Here is a 12540-nt window from a genome sequence, read left to right on the forward strand (position 1 = left end):
ACTTATTACTTGGGCCCACTTCTTCCTTTTGGTGCCTGAGGCTTTCCTTAAGCGTGCAAAACTTGGGGTGCTTCTCAATTCCCTCTTGTTGAGACCTTAGCAGTTTGTTTTCTTATCCATTCTGTCAATGAGATTTTCCTCTCATTTGCATTAGCCCAGAAGGGCAAGGAGCATTTTTATCTAGATGAGTGTATCTTACACATAACAAATTGGTTGCATATCTTTGCTCACTGATACTTTATTTAGCAGGCTAATCTGATAAACTATTTCTCAAGTTATAATAACATTCACCATGGTGGTAAACTTGATAAAGTTTCTGAGTCTCGAAAAACAGAAGTCAATTGCTTGCAACTACATTGCATTGTAGGTAATCCAATAAAGAATTTCTTTTCATGTTGACAGGATAAAAATTGGCAGGGAGCAGGGGAAGGTGTTAACCTGTTAGGGAAAATGCAGGATAATCACATATGGCATTTTATTGCTTTGGAATCTTTTTATTGTAATATCCTCATTTTGGATGAGGTAACTTGGCATCAGATAGATCCAGCTTCAAATAATGGCTCTGTTACTTTTTCACCTTGGACAAGTTATTGATTTTTTCTGCCCATTTTTCTCATCTGTAATATGGATCATGAGGTATGTATGGAAATCTCATAGGTCTGTTGTAAAGATGTAATGAGTAATAAGGTCATGTATTGAAAGCTTTTTGTAAATTATTAAGTGCTAATGGTGGTGATTGGGGTGGGATGTAGGTAGTGGTTGTGGTAGTGGTAGTAGCAAGAATTAGCAGTAGCAGAAATAGTGACACAAGTAAAAATATTAGCAATGGATCACCTTATTTATTTTTAATAAATAAAAAACCATTTTTTGTGATGTTAGGGTGTCAATTTTGGATCTTTCCTGCTTTCTCTTTTGGGCATTTAGTGCTATCAGATTCCCTCTACACACTGCTTTGAATGTGTCCCAGAGATTCTGGTATGTTGTGTCTTTGTTCTCATTGGTTTCAAAGAACATCTTTATTTCTGCCTTCCTTTCATTATGCACCCAGTAGTCATTCAGGAGCAGGTTGTTCAGTTTCCATGTAGTTGAGTGGTTTTGAGTGAGTTTCTTAATCCTGAGTTCTAGTTTGATTGCACTGTGGTCTGAGAGACAGTTTGTTATAATTTCTGATCTTTTACATTTGCTAAGGAGAACTTTACTTCCAACTATGTGGTCAATTTTGAAATAGGTGTGGTGTGGTGCTGAAAAAAATGTATATTCTGTTGATTTGGGGTGGAGAGTTCTGTAGATATCTATTAGGTCTGCTTGGTTCAGAGCTGAGTTCAATTCCTGGGTATCCTTATTAACTTTCTGTCTCATTGATCTGTCTAATGTTGACAGTGGGGTGTTAAAGTCTCCCATTATTATTGTGTGGGAGTCTAAGTCTCTTTGTAGGTCACTCAGGACTTGCTTTATCAATCTGGGTGCTCCTGTATTGGGTGCATATATATTTAGGATAATTAGCTCTTCTTGTTGAATTGATCCCTTTACCATTATGTAATGGCATTCTTTGTCTCTTTTGATCTTTGTTGGTTTAAAGTCTGTTTTATCAGAGACTAGGATTGCAACCCCTGCCTTTTTTTGTTTTCCATTTGCTTGGTAGATCTTCCTCCATCCTTTTATTTTGAGCCTATGTGTGTCTCTGCACGTGAGATGGGTTTCCTGAATACAGCACACTGATGGGTCTTGACTCTTTATCCAATTTGCCAGTCTGTTTCTTTTAATTGGAGAATTTAGTCCATTTACATTTAAGGTTAATATTGTTATGTGTGAATTTGATCCTGTCATTATGATGTTGGCTGGTTATTTTGCTCGTTAGTTGATGGAGTTTCTTCCTAGCCTCGATGGTCTTTACAATTTGGCATGATTTTGCAGTGGCTGGTACCAATTGTTCCTTTCCATGTTTAGCGCTTCCTTCAGGAGCTCTTTTAGGGCAGGCCTGGTGGTGACAAAATCTCTCAGCATTTGCTTGTCTGTAAAGTATTTTATTTCTCCTTCATTTATGAAGCTTAGTTTGGCTGGATATGAAATTCTGGGTTGAAAATTCTTTTCTTTAAGAATGTTAAATATTGGCCCCCACTCTCTTCTGGCTTGCAGAGTTTCTGCCGAGAGATCCGCTGTTAGTCTGATGGGCTTCCCTTTGAGGGTAACCCGACCTTTCTCTCTGGCTGCCCTTAACATTTTTTCCTTCATTTCAACTTTGGTGAATCTGACAATTATGTGTCTTGGAGTTGCTCTTCTCGAGGAGTATCTTTGTGGTGTTCTCTGTATTTCCTGAATCTGAATGTTGGCCTGCCTTGCTAGATTGGGGAAGTTCTCCTGGATAATATCCTGCAGAGTGTTTTCCAACTTGGTTCCATTCTCCCCGTCACTTTCAGGTACACCAATCAGACACAGATTTGGTCTTTTCACATAGTCCCATATTTCTTGGAGGCTTTGTTCGTTTCTTTTTATTCTTTTTTCTCTAAACTTCCCTTCTCGCTTCATTTCATTCATTTCATCTTCCATCACTGATACCCTTTCTTCCAGTTGATCGCATCAGCTCCTGAGGCTTCTGCATTCTTCACATAGTTCTCGAACCTTGACTTTCAGCTCTATCAGCTCCTTTAAGCACTTCTCTGTATTGGTTATTCTAGTTAATACATTCGTCTAAATCTTTTTCAAAGTTTTCAACTTCTTTGCCTTTGGTTTGAATTTCCTCCTGTAGCTCAGAGTAGTTTGATCATCTGAAGCCTTCTTCTCTCAACTTGTCAAAGTCATTCTCCGTCCAGCTTTGTTCCGTTGCTGGTGAGGAGCTACGTTCCTTTGGAGGAGGAGAGGCACTCGCTTTTTAGAGTTTCCAGTTTTTCTGCTCTGTTTTTTCCCCATCTTCATGGTTTTATCTACTTTTGGTCTTTGATGATGGTGATGTACAGATGGGTTTTTGGTGTGGATGTCCTTTCTGTTTGTTAGTTTTCCTTCTAACAGACAGGACCCTCAGCTACAGGTCTGTTGGAGTTTGCTAGAGGTCCACTCCAGACACTGTTTGCCTGGGTACCAGCAGCGGTGGCTGCAGAACAGTGGGTTTTCGTGAACCGCCTATGCTGCTGTCTGATTGTTCCTCTGGAAGTTTTGTCTCAGCGGAGTACCCGGCTGTGTGAGGTGTCAGTCTGCCCCTACTGGGGGGTGCCTCCCAGTTAGGCTGCTTGGGGGTCAGGGGTCAGGGACCCACTTGAGGAGGCAGTCTGCCCGTTCTCAGATCTCCAGCTGCGTGCTGGGAGAACCACTGCTCTCTTCAAAGCTGTCAGACAGGGACATTTAAGTCTGCAGAGGTTACTGCTGTCTTTTTGTTTGTCTGTGCCCTGCCCCCAGAGGTGGAGCCTACAGAGGCAGGCAGGCCTCCTTGAGCTGTGGTGGGCTCCACCCAGTTCGAGCTTCCCGGGCTGCTTTGTTTACCTAAGCAAGCCTGGGCAATGGCGGGCGCCCCTCCCCCAGCCTCACTGCCACCTTGCAGTTTGATCTCAGACTGCTGTGCTAGCAATCAGTGAGATTCCATGGGCATAGGACCCTCCGAGCCAGGTGCAGGATATAATCTCCTCGTGTGCTGTTTTTTAAGCCCGTTGGAAAAGCGCAGTCTTGGGGTGGGAGTGACCCGATTTTCCAGGTGCCATCTGTCACCCCTTTCTTTGACTAGGAAAGGGAACTTCCTGACCACTTGCGCTTCCCAAGTGAGGCAATGCCTTGCCCTGCTTCGGCTCACACACAGTGCACTGCACCCACTGTCCTGCGCCCACTGTCTGGCACTCCCTAGTGAGATGAACCCGGTACCTCAGATGGAAATGCAGAAATCACCCGTCTTCTGTGTCGCTCATGCTGGGAGCTGTAGACCGGAGCTGTTCCTATTCGGCCATCTTGGCTCACAATTAAAAGAACTAGAAAAGCAAGAGCAAACACATTCAAAAGCTAGCAGAAGGCAAGAAATAACTAAAAGCAGAGCAGAACTGAAGGAAATAGAGACACAAAAAACCCTTCAAAGAATTAATGAATCCAGGAGCTGGTTTTTTGAAAGGATCAACAAAATTGATAGACCGCTAGCAAGACTAATAAAGAAGAAAAGAGAGAAGAATCAAATACACGCAATAAAAAATGATAAAGGGAATATCACCACCGATCCCACAGAAATACAAACTACCATCCGAGAATACTACAAACACCTCTACGCAAATAAACTAGAAAATCTAGAAGAAATCGATAAGTTCCTCGACACATACAGCCTCCCAAGACTAAACCAGGAAGAAGTTGAATCTCTGAATAGACCAATAGCAGGCTCTGAAATTGTGGCTTTAATCAATAGCTTACCAACCAAAAAGAGCCCAGGACCAGATGGATTCACAGCCGAATTCTACCAGAGGTACAAGGAGGAACTGGTACCATTCCTTCTGAAACTATTCCAACCAATAGAAAAAGAGGGAATCCTCCCTAACTCATTTTATGAGGCCAGCATCATCCTGATACCAAAGCTTGGCAGAGACACAAACAAAAAAGAGAATTTTAGACCAATATCCTTGATGAACATTGATGCAAAAATCCTCAATAAAATACTGGCAAAACGAATCCAGCAGCACATCAAAAAGCTTATCCACCATGATCAAGTGGGCTTCATCCCTGGGATGCAAGGCTGGTTCAATATACGCAAATCAATAAATGTAATCCAGCATATAAACAGAACCAAAGACAAAAACCACATGATTATCTCAATAGATGCAGAAAAGGCCTTTGACAAAATTCAACAACCCTTCATGCTAAAAACTCTCAATAAATTAGGTATTGATGGGACATATCTCAAAATAATAAGAGCTATCTATGACAAACCCACAGCCAATATCATACTGAATGGGCAAAAACTGGAAGCATTCTCTTTGAAAACTGGCACAAGACAGGGAGGCCCTCTCTCACCACTCCTATTCAACATAGTGTGGGAAGTTCTGACCAGGGCAATTAGGCAGGAGAAGGAAATAAAGGGTATTCAATTAGGAAAAGAGGAAGTCAAATTGTCCCTGTTTGCAGATGACATGATTGTATATCTAGAAAACCCCATTGTCTCAGCCCAAAATCTCCTTAAGCTGATAAGCAACTTCAGCAAAGTCTCAGGATACAAAATCAATGTACAAAAATCACAAGCATTCTTATATGCCAATAACAGACAAACAGAGAGCCAAATCATGAGTGAACTCCCATTCACAATTGCTTCAAAGAGAATAAAATACCTAGGAATCCAACTTACAAGGGACATGAAGGACCTCTTCAAGGAGAACTACAAACCACTGCTCAATGAAATAAAAGAGGATAGAAAGAAATGGAAGAACATTCCATGCTCATGGGTAGGAGGAATCAATATCGTGAAAATGGCCATACTGCCCAAGGTAATTTATAGATTCAATGCCATCCCCATCAAGCTACCAATGCCTTCCTTCACAGAATTGGAAAAAAGTACTTTAAAGTTCATATGGAACCAAAAAAGAGCCCGCATTGCCAAGTCAATCCTAAGCCAAAAGAACAAAGCTGGAGGCATCATGCTACCTGACTTCAAATTATACTACAAGGCTACAGTAACCAAAACAGCATGGTACTGGCACCAAAACAGAGATATAGATCAATGGAACAGAACGGAGCCCTCAGAAATAACGCCGCATATCTACAACTATCTGATCTTTGACAAACCTGAGAAAAACAAGCAATGGGGAAAGGATTCCCTATTTAATAAATGGTGCTGAGAAAACTGGCTAGCCATATGTAGAAAGCTGAAACTGGATCCCTTCCTTACACCTTATACAAAAATTAATTCAAGATGGATTAAAGACTTAAACGTTAGACCTAAAACCATAAAAACCCTAGAAGAAAACCTAGGCATTAACATTCAGGACATAGGCATGGGCAAGGACTTCATGTCTAAAACACCAAAAGCAATGGCAACAAAAGCCAAAATTGACAAATGGGATCTAATTAAACTAAAGAGCTCCTGCACAGGAAAAGAAAGTACCATCAGAGTGAATAGGCAACCTACAAAATTGGAGAAAATTTTTGCAACCTACTCATCTGACAAAGGGCTAATATCCAGCATCTACAATGAACTCAAACAAATTTACAAGAAAAAAACAAACAACTCCATCAAAAAGTGGGCAAAGGATATGAACAGACACTTCTCAAAAGAAGATATTTATGCAGCCAAAAGACACATGAAAAAATGCTCACCATCACTGGCCATCAGAGAAATGCAAATCAAAACCACAATGAGATACCATCTCACACCAGTTAGAATGGCAATCATTAAAAGTCAGGAAACAACAGGTGCTGGAGAGGATGTGGAGAAATAGGAACACTTTTACACTGTTGATGGGACTGTAAACTAGTTCAACCATTGTGGAAGTCAGTGTGGCGATTCTTCAGGGATCTAGAACTAGAAATACCATCTGACCCAGCCATCCCATTACTGGGTATATACCCAAAGGACTATAAATCATGCTGCTATAAAGACACATGCACATGTATGTTTATTGCGGCACTATTCAGAATAGCAAAGACTTGGAACCAACTCAAATGTCCAACAATGATAGACTGGATTAAGAAAATGTGGTACATATACACCATGGAATACTATGCAGCCATAAAAATGATGAGTTCATGTCCTTTGGTGGGACATGGATGAAATTGGAAATCATCATTCTCAGTAAACTATCGCAAGAACAAAAAACCAAATACCGCATATTCTCACTCATAGGTGGGAATTGAACAATGAGGACACATGGACACCGGAAGGGGAACATCACACTCTGGGGACTGTTGTGGGGTTGGGGGAGGGAGGAGGGATAGTTTTAGGAGATATACCTAATGCTAAATGACGAGTTAATGGGTGCAGCACACCAGCATGGCACATGTATACATATGTAACTAACCTGCACATTGTGCACATGTACCCTAAAACTTAAAGTATAATAATAATGAAATAAAATAAAATAAACATAAAAATAAAAAAATAATAAAAAAATTAAAATAAAATAAAAAACCATTTTTTAATACAAATGTTTTGAGGATAGTGTGATGTTAATCAGATGCATTTATGGTAGTGTATTTTTAGACACTCTACAGATGACTGTAAAATAAATTGTATGTATTTGGAGGTAGAGGGGGGAAAAAAGAAGTATTACTTGCCCCTAGAATTTTATAATAAAAACTAATGTTTATTTTCTATTTCACTGTCTCTAGAAAGAGTTCTATTTTATTGTAAATTATAAGAGCAGTTTAATAATAAAGTCTTCTAAATAAAACATTTCCACTAAATTTATAGCATCTTCTATCTCTGCTCAAGATTCCCAATTTTGCATAAATATTCCTTCAGTTTAAATTTATATTTGTCGTGATTCTTAAATCTTGATAAAAGAGAAAAAGTACTCCTTTAGAACTAAGTGATATGTAACAGCTCTCTCATATAATAAATTAACTTCAGAATAACCTTCACATAATGCATTCATTTTGTTTTTCCTTTGTTTATAAAAAAAAGTGCTCTTGGGAAATGGACAAGTTTCTGAAACACTCAGTTCACAGCATTCACTTTTTTAGCATTAAACATCAGGTATTTTATGACCCAACTGGCACATAATGCAAAAATATATGTATATATATCTTTTCTAGTGGAGGATTAATGAGGTGGATGTTTATTTTGTGGTTATTTTTAGTGAAGAATTAGTAGAGTGGCTGTTTAAAGAAAACACACTAACACATCAACAATATGGAATGATATATTCTATTATAAAGATACATGGACATATATGTTCATTGCAGCACTATTTACAATAGCAAAGACATGGAATCAACCCAAATGCCCATCAATGATAGACTGAATAAAGAAAATGTGGTACAGAGATACCATGGAATACTATGCAGCCATAAAAGGAACAAGATCATGTCCTTTGCAGGGACATGGATGGAGCTGGAAGCCATTATCCTCACCAAACTAACACAGGAACAGAATACCAAATACCGCATGTTCTCACTTCTAAATGGGAACTGAACAATGAGAACACATGGATGCAGGGAGGGGAACAACACACACTGGGGCCTGTCAGGGGGGCAGGGGGAGGGAGAGCATCAGGATAAATAGCTAATGCATGTGGGGCTTAATACCTAGGTGATGGTTTGATAGGTGCAGCAAACCACCGTGACACGATTACCTATGTCACAAACCTGCACATCCTCCACATGTATCCTGGAATTTAAAATAAAATTAAAAATATATATGGAGAGAATGATATTTAAGACAAAAAGATGTTCTTTCTACCTATTTAGATTGTTTAATCTTCAATTAGCGTGTTTGGAAAAGCACATAAGCATGATGATATGAGGTGCTGAAGTAAACATGTAGATAAATATAACTAAACTCTAAAAATGCCACCTCCTCCACAAAAATCTTCATCAGCACCCTAGAAAGAGGTGTGATTCTTTTCACTTGCAATCCATTACATGTTCAAACATGTAAGCAATAGTCACCTAGGCTCTGAGCCTCATTCATTGAGTATGAGGGCACCATTTTAAAATAAATTTGGGTGGAACAGAGTCATAGTCCATACACTTACAGTTCATTCATTGATTAATTCATGCATTGAACAAATATCTAGTAAGTGCATACCCTGAGCCAAGTCCTATCTTAGATGCTAAGAACACTATAGTGAACAAGGTACAGTCCCTGCCCTGATAGAGCTTATATCTTGGTTGAATGACAGGGGAAGAAATGCAATAAATTGAAGACAAGTAGATACAGATGGTGGTGTGTGCTATAGAGAAGAAAAGGAGTGGAGTAAAAGAGACAGACAGCTGGTTGGGAGGAGAGTGCTCTCTGGCATAGGATGGATACAAAGGCCTCCCTGGTCTGCTGATGTTAGGACAGAAGCATGGAGAACACAAGGAAGACAGTTCTGGATTACTGGAGGGAATGGATCCAAACAGAAGTGATGCAAAAGCCCTGGTACAGGTAGAAATTTTAGTATTTTTAAGGGCCAGCTCAAGTTAACTAGCTTCTCTGAGTTGCAATTTCCTCTGTTGTAAAAATGGGGATAATAATAGTACTATGAAGGACAGTTTGTGAAGATTTAATAAAATAGTGTGTGCAAAATACCTAGCGCAGTGAGTGTTCTGTGAAAATCTTAGGTGCATTTCTTCTGTAAATATCTACTCACGTCAGTGTTTCTGTAAATATGAACTCATGTTGGTGTGTGTGTTAGTATGTGTCATTATGGTCTCTCTTCTTTGACAGCAATGTGCCTTTTGAACAGTAAGCCCAAGGTAATTACCAGATTGTGTTCCAGAAAACACTAAGGCAGCCCCTGCCTGTGTTAAACATTTCATGAACCACTTTATGAAGCTTGTTTCCACCTCCACTTACCTTTCTTGAGTCCTGCCACCATTGGTCTACCCAGAGCCCCCTGCTGCTGAGGCCTTCTCCTAGAAATGGAAGGTTTTTGGGTGGGAGATGCCCAGGATAGCTCAGGACCAGCTCTCCTCCATGTGTGTTACTCACTCCACCCATGGGAAATGCATGCACCCATAGTGAGGGGTGGGGCAGATTTCTTTCCATCCCTCCTCTAAACCCTGATATCTCTCCAGTTCCCTCTTTTCCAAGCTTAGACAGGCAAAGGAGCTAAGGCAGCTGAAATGCTCTGCATAAAATAATGGGAGAAATTTAGGATCAGAGTGGGTGTTTGCCCTTGAGAGGAATAGCTGAGAGAAAAGAGGTGAAAAACACCTTTTCAAGCATCACGGTTATGTGGCTGAGAAGCTTTCAAGAACAGAAAAGGCCACTAAGTATTTTTAAGGAGTTTGCCCTGTTGCACTGTAAATTCTCTCCATCTTTTCAAACTTTTAATAAAGTCTGTCAAAAACCAGGTCTTTGTATGTGGCTTTTTTTTTTTTTTTTTTTTGGTAGCAACCAAGGAAAGGGGCTAAGTTCTATTTTGTGGTAAACAGAGCTGAAATCAATGCAAAGCCCCATGACCAACAGTGGGCGAGTAAGAATTTAGCAGAGGAAGGAAGCAGGAACCAGCCATCACCATCCCTCCATCTCCTAGAGTTCCTCAGAAGTGTTTCGAGGGCGTTGGATGTTTCAAGGCAGTAGTATACCTATCTTAATGAGCAGGATGGCCTTAGCTGACATGTGCATGTATGTGAGACTTGCTTTGGGCAGCACCCCAGACAAAGATAGGCACTGAATTCTCTGGATAACAACATGAAAGTGAGGTTGAAGCTGCAGATCTGGGAGGGACTCTAGGCCTGCCTGAAAGTGTGTACAATAGACAGGGGTTGTCCACATTTGTCAGTTTCCTCGAGTAGACCCATGCTTGTATCTATCATCAGTATGGACTCAAGCTGCATTATTGAGGTCCCAAGAACACATCCAGTAGTGGGCACAGTGGGAGTGGCTTTGTTAACCTCAATGGTTTACTAGTTGGTTCTTGAGTTGACACCTTTGATTCCTTAGAACAGAAAGGAAATAAGTCAGAGGAACTTGTCTTGGGCTGCTTCCAGGGCTGTACATAGGTAGAAATAATATCAAAGCTAACATTTATTGAGTACTTAGTCTACATAAAGGATTATGTGGGAACTTTATATGTACTCACTCACCTAGTTCCCCCAACAACTCTTTGAGATAAGTACTTCCTAATATTCTTCCAAAACAAGTGGGCATACTTTGACCCAGCTACAGGTTTTGCAAAACTGGAGCACGTGGAATGAATAGGAGTGCTGAGGGGAAATTTTGTGAGAAGTAGGAGTTGGTGAAGCAACCAATTCAGCAATTCTTTAATAGCAGATAGGCAGTTAGCTTTATCCAGATACCCAGTGTCTTTGTCAGGTTTATAGGATGATGTTGTAATTTCATTTACATTTGTCTGAGGTTTCCTTTGAGACCATAAAGTTTCCCAGGCCAAGTCTTCCCAGGTCCCAGATCTTACTCTGCTTTTGCAACTTCACTCTGCAGAGGAGGGGATGTGGCCCATGGCAAGCAAGAGGGGATGGCGATGATGATGAAAGTTAGGAAAAAATTGGACTTCAAGGAGAAATTAAGGAGGGTGGTCGAATGTAGATCAAATTAAGGTCAACAAAAAGGAGAGTGTGGGCAAGGTTAAAGACTTTGTGCTAAAAGCAAGAGTTGTATGTATGCTTAGTCATAAAATGTAGCTCTGGAGATCCAGTTCAGGGTCTGGTTCTGTGCACATAAATCCCTTTTGGAATTTACACTTTCCCCCATGCAAGTGCACTCATCCTTGGAGCACTAAGCGACCCATTACTGCCCTGGGCAGGGCCAGTCAGGAGTGGGTGGAAGTGATGCGTAATTCACCTCTTGGAAACCCCATCTTTGGGGAAAGTGAATTTACTGCACATTTAAATGTTTGTCTCTCAGTGACCATTAACTTAAGCCTGGCTCACCAGAGTATCTCGCTTTTAATGAAGAATTGCTTTCCTGCAAGAAAAATTCTTGAAATTGTTGGAAAAAGAAAAAGTAAATCCTGAGGGATTGTTAGAACTGGTAGATGTGACATATTCACTAGCCTGACTGGATTTCCTTTAAATGCTGAGATGAAAGTCATTCAGCATGGAGCTCTCATCAGTGAGGATTTAAGAGGTTTTGTTTTTGTTCTGTACTACTGCCAGGAACTGTAATTAACAGGTAAATGTAAGAGATGGAAATGTATGTTGTTCATCTGATTTAAATAATACTCCTCCTTTAAAAAGCAACATCCATCATAACCAAAGTGGACCTGAACAGTAGAAGTCCAGATGTACAGAGGTCTTCCAGAAAGCCACAAAAATAGTGCAATGGTTAGTTTTTCTTTTGGCCTGAGCATTGATAAAGGGCCTTAGGCTAGTTTTAGTTTTCCATTAATCTCTCATCTTTCTTTTTTTTTTTCTTGCAGTAATCTTACCTAAAAAATGCTTTAACTGGTATATTAGAAATCTTTTATTTTTAGACGTATTCACTTTGAATTCTTTCCTTTTTCCTTACTTGGTAAATATTTATCACACTCCCAGGCAACTCAACATTTCTCTTATAGAAAGAAGTGTCCCATAAAAGAAATGTGAAAAACGAGCCTTGCGAAAACACAGGTGCCCTGAGAGACATATTTCTGCAAGGACTTGTACTGAAAGAGCACTAGTGACATATAATCATGAACACTTGCCAGCCTTTGAATATGAAGATGTCACTATCATCATTCTTCAGGCATGTTTTGAAAGTTTTGTTTTGTTTTGGCTCAGTTTGGTTGATTTGGTGTGTGGTTTTTGTTTGTTTGCTTGCTTGCGTTTTCCATGAACTTTCATGGATTTGTATTGACCCATCCACATTTACTTTGTCCTCTTTAGACCAAAAATGGGCTTTAGTGTGGGATCATCAATGAAAAATGTGTATTAATTATAATTTGTCTGTTCAATATGTGCCACTAAGTCTTTTATAAAGAAGAAGTTATATTGCCAGAA

The 12540-nt window shown here is 40.0% G+C and overlaps 1 protein-coding gene across 5 annotated transcripts in view, besides 2 other annotated features; it reads left to right on the forward strand.

Moving 5' to 3' along the window:
• Positions 1 to 12540, forward strand: part of DYNC1I1 (dynein cytoplasmic 1 intermediate chain 1) — a 337769-nt gene that overhangs the window by 165458 nt on the left and 159771 nt on the right. The window lies entirely within an intron of this gene.
• Positions 2948 to 3548: an enhancer, noted in NCBI's record as "NANOG-H3K27ac-H3K4me1 hESC enhancer chr7:95570271-95570871 (GRCh37/hg19 assembly coordinates)". NCBI's record gives its function as "activates a minimal SCP1, AML or CMV promoter by ChIP-STARR-seq in primed H9 embryonic stem cells {active_cell/tissue: H9 hESC(primed)}" and the evidence as "EXISTENCE:reporter gene assay evidence [ECO:0000049][PMID:30033119]".
• Positions 3549 to 4148: an enhancer, noted in NCBI's record as "NANOG-H3K27ac-H3K4me1 hESC enhancer chr7:95570872-95571471 (GRCh37/hg19 assembly coordinates)". NCBI's record gives its function as "activates a minimal SCP1, AML or CMV promoter by ChIP-STARR-seq in naive and primed H9 embryonic stem cells {active_cell/tissue: H9 hESC(naive and primed)}" and the evidence as "EXISTENCE:reporter gene assay evidence [ECO:0000049][PMID:30033119]".

The sequence above is a fragment of the Homo sapiens genome, chromosome 7 (genome assembly GCF_000001405.40).
Source record: "Homo sapiens chromosome 7, GRCh38.p14 Primary Assembly".
Lineage (NCBI taxonomy): Eukaryota > Metazoa > Chordata > Mammalia > Primates > Hominidae > Homo > Homo sapiens.